Source organism: Homo sapiens, chromosome 13 (genome assembly GCF_000001405.40).
Source record: "Homo sapiens chromosome 13, GRCh38.p14 Primary Assembly".
Taxonomy (NCBI): Eukaryota; Metazoa; Chordata; class Mammalia; order Primates; family Hominidae; genus Homo; species Homo sapiens.
In genome coordinates this window covers 33,842,849-33,862,443 of record NC_000013.11, presented here as the reverse complement: position 1 = coordinate 33,862,443, position 19,595 = coordinate 33,842,849, and the positions used below count along the sequence as shown (strand labels likewise).

Genomic DNA, 19,595 nt, shown 5'->3' with positions numbered 1-19,595 from the left:
GGAAAAAGTTGCATAAAGACATTGAAGCTGATTCAAGTCACGGGAAATCTCTAAGCGTTTTCTTCAAAAATAACTGTTAAATATATTTCATTGCAATTATACTTCACAACATGTTCATTCTCTGTCCCTATGGGATTCCATTTTGCATAAAACCTAAATAAAGTGTCAGACAAAAAAAAAAAAAAAAACTTTGCTGAGATTGGATTTAATTACCAGACCTAATTCTTCAGTATGGCACTCAGCCAAATATCTGGGAGAAAATGCCGACAGGGCTAGAGACCTGAGCGACTTAGCTAAGTGGAAGGGAAAACATTTTTGATTAATTGAAAGGACAAACACTTCATCTTAAAATGTCTAAAGGTGAGACGTATAGAACTAAATAAATCTATACTGCTGTTCAACAGCATTGTTTTGATAATCCTGTGAATTACTGTATCATCTGAAATTGCAAGAAGCATATTTTCACAGGCAACTTTCTACACCTGAAGTAAAATTTAATGTTTCTTAGAGCTTCCAGAATAGGCATTTCTATTGCTCATAAAAACAATTTCTTACATTTTCAGGGTTAGTTTTACTGCAAAGGGTATTCTGCAGTAAATACCTGTAATTGGTTGCAGTACTTTGGTATGGCACAGTGTCGGTACAAAATTGTTAAGTGAAAAATCATTTTGGGAGCCTCTAAGTAGAGGTGTGCGTGTTCTCACAGGTTGAACTACCTCCTTGCCATTGAAGTGCAGTGATTGTACATGCTATTTCAAACACAAAAATGTGATCATTTTTCCGTTTTTTTTTTTTTTTGAGATGGAGTTTTGCTCTTGTTGCCTAGGCTGGAACGAAGTGGCATGATCTCGGCTCCCTGCAAACTCCACCTCCTGGGTTCAAGAGATTCTCCTGCCTCAGCCTCCTGAATAGCTGGAATTACAGGTGCCACCACCACACCCGGCTAATTCACCATGCCTGGCTAATTTTTGTATTTTTAGTAGAGACAGAGTTTCGGCATGTTGGCCAGGCTGGTCTCAAACTCCTGACCTCAGGCGATCTGCCCGCCTCGGCCTCCCAAAGTGCTGGGATTACAGGCATGAGCCACCACACCCAGCCTCCCTTTTCAAAGTCATCCTGCAATCAGCAACAATTAATATGCTTGTAAAATAGAGAGATCACTTTACCGATATTATTAAATCAACACCGCATTAAAATAAAGTTTATCATCAATGCTCTAAGAAATCTTGAAATTGACATGCAACCTCTATTTTTATATTTTACAAATCTTTTTCCCCTTAGTATTTTTTAAGGACAATGACATGAAGCTTTAACTAGTATATTTCACTTTTATGCCAATATATTTTAAAATGTTATGTAATCTGTTCAAATATGTTTCTCAGCTGGGTATGGTGGCTCTGGCCTGTGGTCTCAGCTACTCAGGAGGCTGAGGCGGGAGGATCACTTGAGCCCAGCAGTAGCCTACAATGAGCTAGGATCATACCACTGCACTCCAGCCTGGGTAACAGAGCAAGACCTGGTAAAAAAATATATATATATATTTAATATGTTTCTTAAGTAATGAGAAAGGGGAAAAAAAGGGATTTGGCTACTTTAAGACATCTCTGCGGGACTTGCTGGTTTTATGAAAATGAAGTATCACTAACCAGGAGGAAGTTATTTAAAGGGACGTTAATTGGCGGTTGCCAAAGTAACCTTCCCTGATTGGAGGAAAATCATGACAGGGACTCATGCTGCAGACAGAAATATAACACGGTTCATTTCCCTTTCTTCTCTCCTTGCCTTGGCCTGCAGGGAAAGAACGAGTTTCTCTCTCCTCACGGCTGCCTGGGACACATGCGGAGTCGATTGTCACATTAAAAAGCCGAGGGATAAGCAAAAACACATCCAAAGCAGGCAGCCAGAAGGAAGAGAAGTCTGGGGTCCAAGTCACAGGATGCACATTGGAGGCAACTGGGAATGCCTCCTCTGCAGAGGGGACAAGTAAGGAGCAATACAGTCACTGATTCAAACATCTGGAGCACTCAAAGGTAGATGTCTTTAAATGTGTTTGTGCAGTCATGGAGGGCAAATTCTAGCCCTCCAAGCAAGTGAGTGTGTGGTGGCCAAAAGCCTCCATCCTCCTCCTTCCCTTGGTTTTCCTGAGTCCCCATTTTGCTACTTCAAGTTTCTCTCCTGGCTTTTTTCCTTCTCAAAAGAAAAAAAAAAAAGTGCAACACACTTAGTCTTCTCCAGCTGCCAAAACAAAATGCCACAGGTGGAGTGGCTTAAACAACAGAAACATATTTTTCTCATGGTTCTGGAGGCTGCAAGTCCAAGATCCAAGTGACTGCAGGGTTGGCTTCTCCTGAGGACTGTCCCCTTGGCTTGCAGATGACCACCTTCAAGCTGTGTCCTCACATGGTCTTTCATCTATGCATGCCCCTGGTGTCTCTTCCTCATCTTATGAGGTCACCAGTCCTATTAGATTAGGGCCACACCCTTATGACATCATTCAACCTTAATTACCTCCTGAAAGGCCCTATCTCCATGTATAGTCATATTCATATTGGTGGTTAGGGCTTCAACATATGAATTTGGGGGTGATGGGGACAAAATTCAGTCCATAACATGCCCAGACAGAAGTGAGTCATTTATCCACCATTGAGGACAAAATTCAGTCCATGGCATGCCCAGACAGAAGTGAGTCATTTATCCACCATTACGTATGGGATGGCAACTTTATTTTTTATTTCAAACTGTAAATATATGCACACACATATATATGTGCATCCTAATAATGCTTTATTATAAAAATAATTCATGTTCCTCAGAGGGAAAATTTAGAAAACAAAAAATAGGAATTATCCATAGTCTGCCACCCAATCACTGCTAAAATTATGCTCCTTTTCCTCATGACTTTTCTGAGTATACTTCTAAACTTGTCATCTCTATACATAGTCACTTTTATATACTGTTCTCTTCACTCATTAAAATATAAATGTTTTGATATTATTTACAATCCTTCAAAATATTTAATGACTTTATACTTTTTATCATAATGTTATGTCTAGTTTTCATTATTGGGCATTTAGATTGATTATCGTCTCTATTATAAGTATGTTGGGTTGGTTTGTTATTAACCAATGCATTTATTATCCCTCAAAATTCTTGTTTTGCATCGCAATTCTCTTTTAGGCCTTTAGATGTTGCCTTGGGGAAAAGACGATACACAGATTTAGAGTTCATGCTCAGCTTCCGAGTTTTATAATGGAGTTTTGACTCTCACAGCAAACATGAAGCAAAAGGTTATTTTTGAGTCTCAAAAGCCTGACTTTTGAGTGTCAAATAAAATCATGGTGTATTTGTGGCATTTCGTTTATACCAGGAACAATAAATGTGAAAGGATGTGAAAACAGTCAACACAGTTCATCCAAAGTCCCAGAAGTCAGGGAGAGAAGGATGCTGTGGACACATACGACTGAGTGTGCATTCAGCATTTGAGGATGTGTATACTGTATGTTGTGAATGGAGTTTCAAATTCAGGGACTGCGATGCTACAGTTGAAAGAAAAAGAGATGTCCAAGAAACAGAATTAGAAAAACAATTTTGGGGATAAATTCTTTCTCTAATCTTTGAAAGCCTACCATGTTCATTTCCACTTAAATAGATAGATAAATATCTCATTTTTCCATGGATAGAACAGAGATAGCTAATTGTCTATCTCAATATTTATTTTCCACTTTTTCTCGATAAAAAAAATTAATCAGTGCAATCATATGCCCCACTGTTCTCCAACCGTAGGTATGACCGTGGGTCCAAATTCTTGCCATTGAGAAATAAGTAAAAGTGTATCAGGTGCCTCTAGGAAATCTTCTCAAAAGTTTCCATCCTGGAACATGAACGTGATTATTTGGGGTTTCAGCTGCCATCTCAGAACATGAGGACAAGTTCATGCTCCTGGGCTTGTGAAGTGAAGAGTGGGAAGGGACCTGGTTACCAACAATTTTGCCAAGTTGCCAGACTAGCCGCAGAATTGCTTTTACCTGAGGAAAACACAATTCTGTCATGTTTAATCTACCGTTATTCTTTATTATGGGTTTTTCTGTTATATGCAGCCAAACCTAACCCTACCAAATGCGGTGTGGTACCTGCTGATTTGGAATAGCTGAGAATTAAGTATTCTCAAGCTACAGTAGGAGACCAAGACACAAAACAGAAGACTGTGAAGCTAAAAAGAAATGGAGAAGTCATTTGGCCAAGCTGCTCTATTTTGTAAACTTCATCAAATCTCTCTGGATTAAGGCTGGTCATCCATAAAATAATGTCCACATCTCAGCTTCCGAGATGGTTATGATCTGGTCCCTTCCGCTCCATCCTTATTTCACAATATAGAAATTATCCTCAGGAACTGTCAACTCATGTTAGTATCTTGATAAAACATGCACATCATTTCCCCATGTGTTAATTATGTGCCAGTCCCTCTGTTAAAAATACGCTTTCTCTGCTTAACCATTTTGCTCAAAAATTCCCTTTTTGATGAAAGCTGTCTACCTCCAAACTCCCAGACAGGATGATCACTTTCTCTTCATGCTGTCCTTAAGATTTATGTACTTTTATATTATTGGACTCAAACATGTAAATAAAGTCAGCATCTAATGCAATATTATTTATTTCTATATTCCTAGTACCCAGAACAGAAATATACAATAAGTGCTGAACAACTGTTTGTTGAATTGAATCACATTTCATATTAGGAAATTAAGGACTCTGAAAAGGTTACCACACTGGGTTTTAATGAGCAAAGAGAGCCAAGATTTATATCAAACGTTCAAACAAAAGAGGAGAAAATGAAGCAAAAATATTAATTTTAATGTTAGCCCCACTAACACTCCCCAGTTTTTCATCTTCTTAATTCATTGGGCTTAAACATGAAGCCTATGGTCAGCCAGAGATGCTGATTGCCTTGGGAGAGCATTGCTCCCATCTCCATGAGCCCACACCCTGCACTGAGCTCTGCTGACTTGTGTTTCCTTGAGGTTCCAAGGGCAGGCGGCTTAAATGTCATCCCCAGAAGAATCTGCAGTGAGTCAGAACCATACATTCCATATGTCAGCTTTGAGTCCATTCTGTAGGAAGAGCTGAAAATGTATCCCCTATTCTATTTTCTGTCCAAAATTATGTCCAGGCATACTGTCTAATGTAGCATGTCAGAGATTCCGCAATGAGATTGGACGCTATCTTGAAGATATTCCAATAACCAAACATCTATAAAGAGATGCCTCTTATTTGAAGACAATTTCCTTGCTATTATTAAATTCCAAGGAATAAATTTATGTCTAAAGATTAGATTGCTTTACAAGTTTAAGTTCAAAGACATGAAAATCTAAAAGTACTAAAGTTTGAAATAAAATTCTCTTGCCCCATGTATTAAAATTCAAAGTACAAAGTCCACTTACAAAACAAATACCCTTCCCCTTCATATCATCTTTTCTGCAGGCTTAGTTGGCAGGATTTGCTGTCTGGGTAGAGTTGAGGTTCCTCCAGTAACCACCTGTCTCTCTCTGGAATGGGTCTGGAGCTTCCAAAGCCTTTCAAGTCATAGTAATTCAATGCCCAGTCTCTCAGGGGCCTTACTTTTAAAGAATCAAAACAGCTAACAGGACTCACAAAATTACCACACCTCTTTGTCACACGCACCCAATTTAGAAAGCCAATCTCCTGTGCATAGGTCAATTATTCCAGGCAAAATTGCATTTCCAGAACCAGAGCTACCAGGACCCCAGTAATCCTGGTATCTGAGAGAAAAGGAAAATCTTTCTGGAGTCAATCTCAACAGACGTCTCTCATTCAAGACCAATTGTCTGTATTCCATGACTTGCTTACTTAAGCCCAGTGGAAAAATATTCTCCCAGGAATACGTTTATTTTGCATTTACCATTTACAATTACATTTCCATATCAGTTTTTTAACTTTTATTTTAAGTTCAGGTATACATGTGCAGGTTTGTTACATAGGTAAATTTGTGTCATGGGTGTTTGTTGTACAGATTATCTCATCATCCAGGTATTAAGCCTAATACCCATTCGTTATTTTTCCTGATCCTCTTCTCCTCCCACCCTCCACCTTCTGGTGGGCTCCAGTGTCTGCTGTTTACCTGTCTGTGTCCATCTCTTCTCTTCATTTAACTCCCACTTATAAATAAAAACTTGTGGTATTTGGTTTTCTGTTCCTGAATTAGTTTGCTAAAGAAAATGGCCTCCTGCTCCATCTGTGTTGCTGCAAAGGACATTGAGACTGTTTTACTTCCTTATACCATATATGAAAACCAACTCAAGATGGATTAAGACTTAAATGTAAAACCCAAAGCTATAAAAACCCTGGAAGACAACCTACGAAATGTCATTCTGGACATAGGAATGGGCAAAGATCTAATGGCAAAGATGCTAAAAGCAATTGCAACAAAGGCAAAAACTGACAAATGAGATCTAATTAAACTAAAGAGCTTCTGCACAGCAAAAGAAACTATCAGCAAACTAAACAGATAACCTAGAGAATGGTAGAACGTTTTTGCAAACTATGCATCAGACAGAGGTCTAATATCCAGCACCTATAAAAAACTTAAATTTACAAGACAAAAACAAGCTCATTAAATATGGGCAAAGGACATGAACAGACACTTTTCAAAAGAAGACACACATACAGCCAACAAGCATATGAAAAAAAGTTCAGCATCACTGATCATGAAAGAAATGTAAATCAAAGCCACAACGAGATACCATCTCACATCACTCAAAATGGCTATTGTTAAAAAATCAAAAAATAACCAGTGCTGGCAAGGTTGCAGAGAAAAGGGAATGCTTATACACTGCTGGTGGGAGGGTAAATTAGTTCAACCATTGTGGAATGCAGTGTGGCACTTCCTCAAAGACCTAAAAATAGAACTATTATTCCACCAAGCAATCCCATTACTGGTATATACCAAAGGATTATAAATCCTTCTATCATAAAGACACACACACATACGTTCACTGCAGCACTATTCACAATAGCAAAGACATGGAATCAACCTAAATGCCCGTCAATGGTAGACTGGGTAAAGAAAATAAGGCACATAGACACCATTTCTTTACATTTCCATTTTTGTGGGAAAAAAAATCCATCTATGTTTCCTGTGTGCTTGCTCGGAGCATTAAGAAATATAAAATCAGATCAACTTAGAAAAAATGTTAAAAGTTTATTGTGCACACTAAGAACAGTTCTCAAACTGGGAGACTTCAAACTGAAAGTAGTAAGAAGCCTCAAGAAAAGCAGCCACAGCGCAGATTATAAAGCACAAAGGAGGAGTATTTTAACCTTTTTTTTCTTGCCTGTTGTATATTACCATCCCTTTTAGGGAAGTAGAGTTGTTTAAGCTCATTTGTCGCTAGTCGATTGTTTTGATTTCAACTGAACCATGTTCATAGAGCTTATGTTTTGTTTCCGTCATGATTAGAGCATTATGGGGAAATCAGGATGACTTAAGTTTTGACTACATGGTTATGGGCAGTTGGCCCTGGGGTATATCTAAACTATGGCCTTGGTTCTTCCTTCTTTTTTAATAGTATCATTTCAGGCATTTCTGTCTCCTTGCAAACTTGAAATAGACACCTGAAATAGCAGCAGCCAGTCCCCAAAATCACTGTGGGTTCTTTCTTCCCATCAAGCATACCCAGAACCTCTATTTCCATTTTCCCATAGAATCTTAGGTTTTTAAGCCCTTGATGGTGCCCTAGATTCAGTCTCTAATCCATGCCACACCTGCACCATCTCTCAGGGGCAGCCATTCTTAGTCCTGTGCCACAGGGGCTATTTCCACCATCTGTAGCTATGGAACTACTTGGGACATGAAACCCATCTGCTAGGAAAGACTTCTTCATTCATAATTCATCTTAGCTGAAGAATCACCACTAATAGATTCCTGCACTAAAGCAGTTTTGTTGCTTCTGAAATTAAATTTTTGATGCATTGGTATTTAATTTCCCTGTGCTAGTCCCCAACCCCTTTCAAGGCTACTTGAGTTTCTTAACAATTTAGTCTACTTCTTAAACCAGTCCTTTTTCTTCTCTAGTCTATGTAAGAGCTAATGCTGCCTGCAGGAACTGAGTGGCTCCCTTCCATTTACTTTGTCTTTGCTTTCCGTCTCAGGCAATTATTTTTATAACTACTCTGGATTCATCTGTGAGGTCTACCATAGTAAGAGAGAAGAAATCAACAAGCTCTCTGTTCACCGTTCAGATTTTGTTTACCATACTCTCAATGACATGGATAATCTCCCCAAGAGAGATTCTTCCATCAGACAGTTAACAAAAACCTGAACTTGGTCTCTGATTGTCACATCTACATTTCTTCGTATCTTTCTACTACCTTCCATTAAGATCCTAATTTCATAAATTCATCAACTAAGGTCAATAAGTTCTCTCAGAGTAAATGCAATGCTTGTATCTCCCCGTGATGACTGTGTCACATGGAAACTCACGTAAGAAATGCTTTGAATATCTCTTATGCATTTTCTAAGTCTGTCCAGATTTCTACAACTCCTTGGTACAGCTGTTCCAGTCTTTAAGTAGTAGTTCCCCAGTTGCTCCAAGTGAGGTCCTGTGGGTTTAGAAAGTCACCTCTCAGTGACTTGGGTTTTCTTAGGGTTATCATCCTGGACTTCTCTCTCTTGGGTTCCATACACCATTTATGATTTAGTAACAACAAACATGTATTTCCCTCTTTAAAAGCAGTTAGAATTTAGGTACCTTTTTCTGCCCCTTGTATGTTGGTCTAACTCCATCTTCAACGTACCTTTCTCCCTGTATTCTTTCTTAGTGAATAAATAATCTCTTCCTCCAGCGTATCCTGCCTACTTTCCTTTATTAATCTTCCTCTGTTTCTGGATTTAATGGAACTGAAGTACCATCTTTTAACCACTCTAGTTTTTTCTTTTCTTGAGCAAATGGGATAATTGGAGGCAACCAGTTGCAGGCACAGAACACTTTGATATCCTTGTGTTTGGGTTTCTAATAATGTCATTTAGTTGATTTTCTGTCTCAAGGGGATAGCAATTTCTTTCTAATAAGAGTTCATATCTCTTATTTCCTAATTAATAAAGTCTAATGCACATCTATGGTGAAATCACAATTTGGGTCTCAGATAGCAAGTCAGGGTTAGAACTTAAGATATTAATGTATTCAGAGCCAATTTGGGATTCTATAATGGGAGAGGGAGTCTTAAAAGTCTGTGGAAATGCCACATGAAAGGTTAGCAGGTGCCTTCACAGCCCTCCTTGATCCTGAAAGAGGTCTTCTCTTGAATCTGGAATACCCAATCTAGATTATCTAGCTGGTCTTGGTACTAACCATGTAGACCTAGAGCCCCTCTAGTGCTCTGTTATACATGCAGAGCTAGTTGCCTTGCAGTTTAAAAGTGGCAAATATTCTTCTGACCACCAATGTTTAAAATGCCTGTAAAACTCTTCTCTACAATGGAATCTTGTCTCAATTTAGGACAAGGTTGGTCTGTGCATTAAGCCAAAGCAGTCTCTACCTGAAGCACCCAACACAGCTAAAGGACTGTGTCTTATTTTCTCACGAGTTGCATAAGTCATAGGTTGCAGTCACCTGCCAAGCTTAAAATTCCTCATGACAGCCAGAGCTTTCTTCCCAGGCTACAGAAGTTCAAAGCCAAATGCAAACAAGTAAAAATCAGTTTGACCTAAAATAAGTCTCTATAAACTATTATAAGTCTTTATAAACTATTATACTCAATACATTTAATCCCTAAAGTCCAAGACCCACATTTGTAGGCCTTGGATGCACAAAAACTTTCTCCTTCCAAACTTTCTCTTTTATTATTATTTCTCAATGTTCCTGGTGAATATACCAAATTTTGAGGTTTCTGAGGGTTACTCCCCAATAAATGGCACCATTATTCTATGCTCTGCTTAGAACAAGTTGAGATCAACAAAACAGATTCAGTGGGAAGCCAAAATATAACCTGTTACTGATAGAAATTAGGCCAGAAGACACGGTTTTAGGTGGGGGCAGTGCTAGACTTTAGGCCTCCTTACAGGCAAGAAGCCTGACTACTTACACATAGGCTCATTCTCAACAGAAAAACAGTTGGAGCCACGTCAAGTAGGTTCACTGATTCTTCTCAAAGATGAGAATTAAATAAAATACTCCATCTCTCTAAGAGCTGGATGAATAAAGACAGGCCTGCAGTAACACTACTGAAGCTTACTTCCAGGAAAGAAAGATTAGAAACAGGAAACAATTATTCCTGGATGACAATAACTTACAGTTAAAATCTTTGCTTACTGCTTTTTATATTGAAAGTAACTTTTCTCAAGATATTTGTGCAATTCAGATAGTGCAATACTCTCATAGTTAGTTTTCAATACCATGTTGCACCTCAATTTAATATATCTCATTTGTGGAATATCAATGTTTCACAATATCAATGTCAATTCATTTTTTATAAAATTTGATATCTGAAAGCCAATTTTAAAATTCAGTCTTCAACTTCACAGTTTGGGGAATGGATTCATACTTAGGTCTGTTATTTAAATGTCTGGGTATTCTTTTCCCACAAGATTGTAGACCAGATTATTCCCAGACAAATAGTTTCCTAACGAGCCAACTGCAGAATGTGTGAATTGGATCATATGTGTGTGCAATGCTTTAAGAATGACCTTACACAAAAAATAGTCACTGTTTAGATGGGTTATACAGTTGACCCCTGAAAAACATGGGTTTGAACTGCATGGGTCCATTTATATGTAGGTTTTATTTTGCCTCTGCCACCCCTGAGACAGCAAAGCCAACCCCTCCTCCTCAACAGCCTGCTCAACACAAAGACAGAAAGGATGAAGACCTTTATAATGATCCACTTCTACTTAGTAAATATATATTTTTAGATAGTAAATATATTTTTTCTTCCTCAGGACCTTCTTAATAACCTTTTCTTTCCTCTTATCTGACTTTATGGTAAGAATGTAATATACACGACATACAAAATACGTGTTATCTGAGTATTTCTGTTGTTGGTAAGGCTCTGGTCAACATTAGTCTATTAAGTTTGGGGGAGTCAAAAGTTCTATGTTGATTTTCAACTGTGACGGGTTGATGCTCCAACCCCCGACATTGTTCAAGGGTCAACTATATTATAAACTAAGGAATCCAATCTTTGTAAAGCAGGAAATGGGGGTAGAGAAAAATTAGTAGATTTTCCCTTGGATGACATGAACAATTCAAAAATCATTTGCATATATCCTTGTGTAACTACAGCAGACGCTTTAATTATGGACCCAATTTATCAACAAAGCATTATGCTCTCAAGCCATAAGAATCAATCTAGTTCATGATGTTAATTTCTCATTCCATGGAGGGTTTTGGCTTGCTTTTCAAAGAAATTCATGCTGAATCAGGCAATTAGTAAATTTAAGTTTTATACCCTTCCAACTGAATTTATTTTGTGAGGAAAAAAATCCGAAAGTAATATCAACTACCACAGAAGAATTGTCTTAGTTATGTTTTCTAATTTTGATCAATGTATATTAAGCTTATTGACTTCCTTTCAAAATTAAAAAAAAGTTGTGACTCATGAGCACCAAGTTTTCAAATCCTTTATTAAAATTATCATGTACAAAACTAACTTAATTCAGTGATGTATTTTAAATATCTGCACTTTGATCACTATTAAAAACAGCATAAAATGAGTTTGTCCTGTAAGTTAACTGTATTTTCAAAACAATACTTATGTTTAGATATACTTTTGCTAATGTTTGTTTTTCTAAGTCAATATATATTGTACTCACTCATTTATGAAACTGACATTTGCAAATTGTTTTGCTATTCTGACAATTTTTCATACAGTAAATATTAATTTTACAAGAACATAATTTATTTCAATTAATTTAAAATCAAAGCCTGATTAAATTTTGATGTTTTCTCAGTGTATCAATTTAAAAATCATCTTCATACCTAATCATAACCTGTTGTATGATGTTTCATAATGATATATTAAGCTGTATTCCTTCAAAATAGATACATTTTATTATAAATTAAAAATATCCTTTACATCTATAAAGAAATACGCATGCTCAATTTTTCTTGAACCATATAACCCTCTCTTACCTCTCATTTTACACCAATTTTGATAAAAGGTTTGGTTATTAGAAAGTTTATTTTTCTCATCTCCACAATTTAAAAACAAAGAAAAAACTGTGTAAAATAATAGCTAAAACTGGTGAGAAATGGAAAATGCATACCTATGTAAAAAAGATAGCCACTCCACAATTCAAATTAGTAACATAAAGATCAAATTTGATTTTTTAAGAAAATCAAGAAGTTAATGTTTTTGAAGTATTTCTATATTTTTAAATATTGACAATTAATAATTGAAAACAATGTGTAAGCTAGCACTATGTAAATCAAAGAAAACAGACAAATGTTAACATGTAATTAATATTCTCAACCCAGGAGACAGTTGATTGTTGAAACAGAAACCTGAACACATCATAACTCTAATACTTTTTTGTTTGTTGGTTTGTTTTTTTTTGAGACAGAGTCTTACTCTGTAGTCCAGGCTGGAGTGTGGTGGTGCAATCTCGGCTCACTAAAACCTCTGCCTCTCGGTTCAAGTGATTCTCTTGCCTCAGCCTCCTGAGTAGCTGGGATGACAGACACGCACCACTACTCCCAGCTAATTTTTTGTATTTTTATTAGAAACAGGGCTTCACCACGTTGGCCAGGCTGGTCTCAAACTCCTTACCTCAACTGATCTGCCAGCCTCGGCCTCCTTTGGGATTACAGGCATGAGCCACTGAGCCTGGCCTACTCTAATATTCTTTAGTGGCATCCTTTCTCACTTAAAAAAAAAAATCACTGCAATTGTCCTACAAGGCTCTATATCAGTGATGGCCTGGAGAAGGGTTATACTAGCTCACAAGAGCTGACTGTTATATTTTCCATTGCTAGCTTGAAATTGGCCATGGTGAGAGTGTTTACACCAGAAAAACTGCAAACACTACAGATCAGGACCTTTTATTATTGATTTTTTTCCCTAGAGAGCCAGCTGCTAAACATTTACCAGAATACCAGTACCCTATATGATCTATCCCACCTCACCTCCATGTTAGCTCAATGTTCTCACCTCATCTTTTGCCACTTTCCCATTTGCCCAACCTACTCCACTGGCATATTCCTTCCTGCTTCAGGTCTTGCATATACTGTTTAGTTTGCCTGGACTATGTAAATTACTGTGTAACACAGTCTACCTAAAACAACAAACCAAAATTCTCCACCTCCACAGCACACATGACATAGAATATTTTATCAGTTTATCTATCTGTCTGTCTGCCTGTCTGTCTGCCTGTCTATCTATCTATCTATCATCCTGCATTCATCTCTTCGTGATAGGCTGTAAACTCCACAAAGGAAACTGATGTCAATTTTGTCCTGCTGTATCCCCAGTACCTTAAAAAAGCCATGGCAAACAGCAGGTGCTCAATAAATATTTTTCTGAACAAATGAATGGATAGAAGTTGCCCTTAGTGGTCTAAATCTAAATATTTACATTTCTATCTCTTTTTAATAGAAATTACTTGCCATGTTGAGTATGAAGAATTATTGATTTTTAAATGCACAAATAGCTGTTTTGAATGACACCCATGCTTTTGGTTTAAATCTCTTATGCTCATCTGAGTATACCTAGCCATGAGTCCATCTAGTCTGCCTGTTATGGTTCATTTGATGACAAATACAGGGAGAGATGAAAGCAACATCCATCTACAAGGGATAAAGGCCAGAGCTTGACAAATGACTGTCAAAATGGAGAGAGGGGTCAACTTACATGCTAAAGGTTTACACCCGGTATCTAGAAGAAAAGTAGTACCCTGACACAAGCAATAAGCTAAGAGAAGTAGCTGGTTTAACAGATGCTGGTGAATTTGTTTTAGATAAACCAAAATTGAAATGGCTGATGGTTGTATTAGGAAAAGCACCTCATGTCTGGATGTGGGAATCATCAACACATGTACTCTTTTTGAACTCAAAACTGAGTTGTCTCATGAACAGAAGTAGAAAGGGGGAAGGAGCATGGAAAAGACAGATATTAAGCTGATCATTGAATAAAGAAAATTAGGTAGAACCCCAGATAATCCCCACTGCTGTAGAACATGGAAAAGAATCAGAAAAGATGACATCGAGAAAGGAACAATGGGAAAGGTCTACTTTGGGCTGGAAGAGATCAAAAGCTCAGTGTGGAACATGTTCAGTTTGAGATGTCTCTGAAGTATCTGTGAACGAACGTCAGATAGGTGTTTAGATGCATAAGTGTGAAATTCAGCTAAAGTTTGAGCTCATATAAATGGAGTTAACAGCTAATAGATGGTATATAAAGCCTTGGGCATGTATAAGGTCACCCAGGGAGAGAATCTTATGAGCAGCAGAGAGTCGAGAATAAAGCTATATTCCACATTTGATGGCTTGGTAAGAAAAAGCCTGTAAAGTGAGCAGCCAAAGATGTAGGCGAAAAAATACAAGAGAATATTTGTCTCAGGGAAACCATGGAAAAAGGAGATTCAAGAAAGGGCAACACATATTGCTGAGGTCAATTAAAAGTTCACTGGATACAGAGCAAGAATTCACTGGATGGAGATGCACACATACATACATCCCTTTTAGACTAAACTGTATTTTTGAAGTTATAAGAAGGAAAACCAGATTAAAATGGATTGCAAACTAAGAAAATGTAGGCAATATGAACAGAAAACACTTAAAAAATGTGTAAAGAGTAGAAAGAGAGGGTGCAAGATGAGGATGTGAGGTATATGAATGATTTTTTTTTTTTAAGAGATACTTGACCATATTTATAAAACAATGAGATGGAATTTCTGCTTCTGGTATGGCTGACAATCTTACAGTAGATAACAACTATAAGCTTTGAACAAACTTATAAAAAGCAACTGCTGGAGGAGGAGGTGAAGCAAGATGGCCAGATAGCACCTCCTAGAGATTATCCCCCTCCCCCACCGCAGGAACACCAAATTAGTACCCACACAAGAAAGCACCTTTGTAAGAACAAGAAATCAGATGAGTGATCACAGTACCTGATTTTAACACTGTATTAAAGAAAAAGGCACTGTAGAAGGTAGGAAAGACAGTATTGAATTGCCTACACACCCCTCTCTCATCCCCCATCAGCTGCAGCATGGTGCAGAGAGAATCTGTGTAGGCCAGGCATGGTGGCTCACGCCTGTAATCCCAGCACTTTGGGAGGCTGAGGCAGGTGGATCACCTGAGGTCAGGAGTTCAAGAGAAGCCTGGCCAACATGGTGAAACCCCGTCTCTACTAAAAATACAAAAATTAGCCGGGTGTGGTGGCAGGTGTCTGTAATCCCAGCTACTCGGGAGAGGGAGGTAGGAGAATCGCTTGAACCTAGGAGGCGGAGGCTGCAGTGAGCGAAGATCGCACCACTGCACTTCAGTGCCTGGTCAACAGGGTGAGACTCCACCAAAAAAAAAGAAAAAGAGAGAATCTGTGTGCACTGGACAGTGCTTCCCCGTCACAGTGGAGAGCAACACATGACAGAACCCACAGAGAGAGTATTTAGACCAGCCCTAACCACAGGGGAATTGTCTATCCCAGTGGGCAGAAACTGAGTTCCAGCTAGCACCATCATCATGGGCTAAAGCACTCTGGGGTCCTAAATAAACTTGAATAGCAGTCTACGCCACAAGACTGCAATTCCTGGGCAAGCTCTGGTGCTGTACCGTGCTTGAGTCAGCCAACTTGGGATACACAAGACCCAGTGAGACACCAGCCAGGGCAGCCAAGGGAGTGCCTGCATCACCCCTCCTCCAATCCCAGGCAGTACAAATTGCAGCTGCAGAAGAGATTCCTTCCCTCCACTTGAGGAGAGGGGAGGGAAGAGTAAAGAGGACTTTGTCTTGCAACTTGGAGACCTGCTCAGCCACAGTAGGACAGCACACTTGGTAGAGTCCTGAGGGCCTCATTCCAGGACCTAGCTCCCGGATGACCTTTGTAGACACACCCTGGGCCAGAAGGGAACCCGCTGCCTTGAAGGGAAGAACCCAGCTCTGGCAGAATTCATAATATGCTGACTAAAGAGCCCTTGGGCCTTGAAAAACATCAGTTGTACCCAGGCAGTATTTGCTGTATGTCTTGGGTGAGACTCAGAGATGTTCTGGCTTCAGTCCTGACATAGCACAGTCCCAGTGGTAGTGGTCATAGGCATGCTTGTATCACCTCTCCCCTAGCTCCAGGCAACTCAGCATGGAGAGACAGAAACTCCATTTGTCTGGAGAAAAGGGAAGAGAACAAGAGTCTCTGATTAGTAATCTAGGGAATTCTCTTGTATCTTACCCAAGACCACCAAGGCAATATCTCTATGAGCCTGAAAGAGTCACAGCATTACTGGGGTGCCCCCTAATGCATATATGGCTACAGTAACCAGACTTAGATCACAACACTCAATTTTCTCTGAACACTTGGAATGCCTTCCCAAGAAGGACAGGTATAAACAAGCCCATACTACAATAAATACCTAACTCTTCAATGTCCATACATCTATGAACATCTACAAGCAGCAGGGTCATCCAGGAAACATGACCTCACCAAACAAACTACATAAGGTATCAGTGACCAGTCCAGAAGTGAAAGAGATATGTGACCTTTCAGACAGAGAATTCCAAACAGCTGTTTTGAGGAAGTGCAATGAAATTCAAGATAACATAGAGAAGCAAGTCAGAGTCCTATTAGATAAATGTAACAAAGACATTGAAAAATTTTTAAAAATCAAACAGAAATTCTGCAGCTGAAAAATTCAATTGGCCTATTAATAAATGCATCAGAGCCCTTTAATAATGGAATTGATCAAAAAGAAGAATTAATGAGCTTGAAGACAGGCTATTTGAAAATATACAGAGGAGACAAAAGAAAAAAGAATAAAAAAGAATGAAGCATGCCTACACGATCTAGAAAATATCTTCAAGAGGGCATATCTAAGAGTTACTGGCCTTAAAGAAAAGGTAGAGAGAGATATAGAGGTAGAAAGTTTATTCAAATGGATAGTAACAGAGAACTTCCCAAGCCTAGAGAAAGATGTCAACATTCAAGTTCAAGAAAATTATAGAACACCAAGATTTAACCCAAATAAGACTATCTCAAGGCATCTAATAATCAAACTCCCAAAGGTCATGGATAAAGGATCCTAAAAGCAGCAACAGAAAAGAAACAAACAACATACAATGGGGCTCCAATATGTCTGGCAGCAGATTTCACTATGGAAATCTTACAGGCAGGAAAGAGTGGCATGGCATATTTAAAGTGCTGAAGGAAAATATATTTTATCCTAGACTTATATCCTGTGAAAATATCCTTCAAACATTTAAGGAGAAATATAGACTTTCCCAGATAAACAAAAGCTGAGGAATTTCATCAACACTAAGCCTATCATACAAGTAATGCCAAAGGGATTTCTTCGCTCTGAAAGAAAAGAATGTTAATGAGAAACAAGAAATCATCTGAAGGTACAAGACTCACTGGCAATAGTAAGTACATAGACAAACATAGAATATTATAACACTGTAATTGTGGTGTGTAAACTATCCATATCTTGAATAGAAAGACTAAAAGATGAACCTATCAAAAATAACTACAACAACTTTTCAGAACATAGACAGTATAATAAGATATAAACAGAAATAACCAAAAGTTAAAAAGCAGAAGCGATGAAGTTAAATTGTAGAATTTTTATTAGTTTTCTCTGTTAGTTTTTGAAATTAGTGTTAAATTGTCATCAGTTTAAAATAATGAGTTATATTATTTGCAAACCTGATAGCAACCTCAAATAAAAAATCCTACAACAGATACACAAACAAGAAAAAGCAAGATATTGAAACACACCACTGAGAAAATCACGTAAGCAGGCAAGCAAGAAGGAGGGAAGGAAGGCCACAAAACAACCAGAAAACAAATGATAAAACGGTAGTAGAAAAAACAACTGCTGGAGAGAGAAGAACAGCAGAAACTGGAAGGTAATCAACAATTGGAAGGTGGGCAGAGCACTAGAGTTTTTCATTTTTAAGGCATTTAGCCTGAAGGCAGGCCACAGTCATCACTAACATGGGCAGCTAAAACTCTTATGAAAACTTTACTGTCTTATTGGATTAAAGAACCAGAAGACTAGGGGGCAGCCACTGCTGCTACAAAATGATAGAGGCAATCCTTTAAAAGAGAGAACAAGAGAGCTTGAACCCTAATTCTGCAAATACTTTCTTCTGTAATCTCTAAAGCCCAGATCATTCATAACCACTAGATACTATTCACAATTACTCAACAAAGAAGTAGAAAAACATGATTAATCATCAAAAGAAAAAGACAATCAACATAGAACAAACCCAACAAGATGGGAAGCTTAACAAGGAAGATGGGCAGCTTCTCTACCGTATTAGGAGAATATAGGTTGCATATAAATGTAGATATAGTCAACAGGATGCATACAAATGAGGATATGGTAACATAGGCTGCATATGGATTTGGTTTCGGTAGCTAACAAGAAGGTAAAATTATTTGCTCCAAATTAAGTTTTGAAAAAGGCATTGTGGAGACTTGATCATAGAAACATATGTCCGTTGGGCAGTGTTGACAGCCCATTTCTTGGTTGGTAGCTGTGAATTTATTAGAGTGGCACCCATGATCAGCTGGATCCAGTTTCTCATCTGCAAAACAAGATCATAATGTCTAGTTCAAAGAGTGTTAGGAGAATTAAATGAGAGAATGCCTGTGAAGAATCTAGCATAGTGCCTCACATAAAGGTACTTAATGTTATTCTAGAGAAACTGTGTCAAGCTCTTTCCATGCCTACAGCTAGTAATTATTTTGCACAGCTGCTCTTCAGGAAGTTGCTTAAGTTTCTGGTGCTGCTATATTAAAGAGAAGGTAACTTCAGTGGGCCATCAGCTAATTAAACAACTGCAAAAGGAGCATAAGCTACTAAGCCACAAAGGTACCATATAGTGTTTGTAAATTGGCATTAGGCTGCAATTTAGATAGGAGCTGAGGTTTGTGGAGACCACTATTTTTGCAAAGCTGCAGAGAGGAAAGTAATTTATTGTAAATCTTGTACACTATAATCAAACTGATAGAGAACATCTTGTGATAATGCTCCAAATTTCCATAGAAATTGTAAACAGGAAAAAAAAAAACAGGAGCAAATAGCTAGAGAAATCTGTTCATCAATTTGAAAAATATGAGATGACTATGTTTTACTTGGGAACAAGGTACAAAGAAAATTGCTGCCAAGAGTTGAGGTTTTTTTTGTTTTTTTGTTTTACTTTTTAAGGAATGTGTTTTGTGATTAAGTGCTATAATTTGGAAATAATATTTAATGTACTATTACTCAATTCTGATAAATCTCAGAGTGTAAAACAGCACTTAAAACTACAAGTTTCTGTTGTGATGTATACTGCACAACTACAAATCCCATGAACAAATTTTTAATTTATATGAAACATAAAATCATAGATTTTTAAAGAATGGCATAAAACACTGATTCACACATG

At 38.0% G+C, this 19,595-nt stretch overlaps 1 protein-coding gene across 12 annotated transcripts in view; it reads right to left on the bottom strand.

The window, feature by feature from the left end:
* RFC3 (replication factor C subunit 3) overlaps nt 1-19,595 on the bottom strand; it is a 159,229-nt gene that overhangs the window by 114,934 nt on the left and 24,700 nt on the right. Inside the window, exon 9 of one of the 12 annotated variants that reach the window (XM_011535172.4) lies at nt 11,617-18,752. The exons of the other annotated variants lie outside the window; for them this stretch is intronic. Within the exon in view, the coding sequence (XP_011533474.1) occupies nt 18,600-18,752 (153 nt within the window). The 3' untranslated portion in view covers nt 11,617-18,599. Of the gene's footprint in view, nt 1-11,616; nt 18,753-19,595 lie in introns of those variants that run through there. 12 annotated transcript variants of the gene reach the window in all.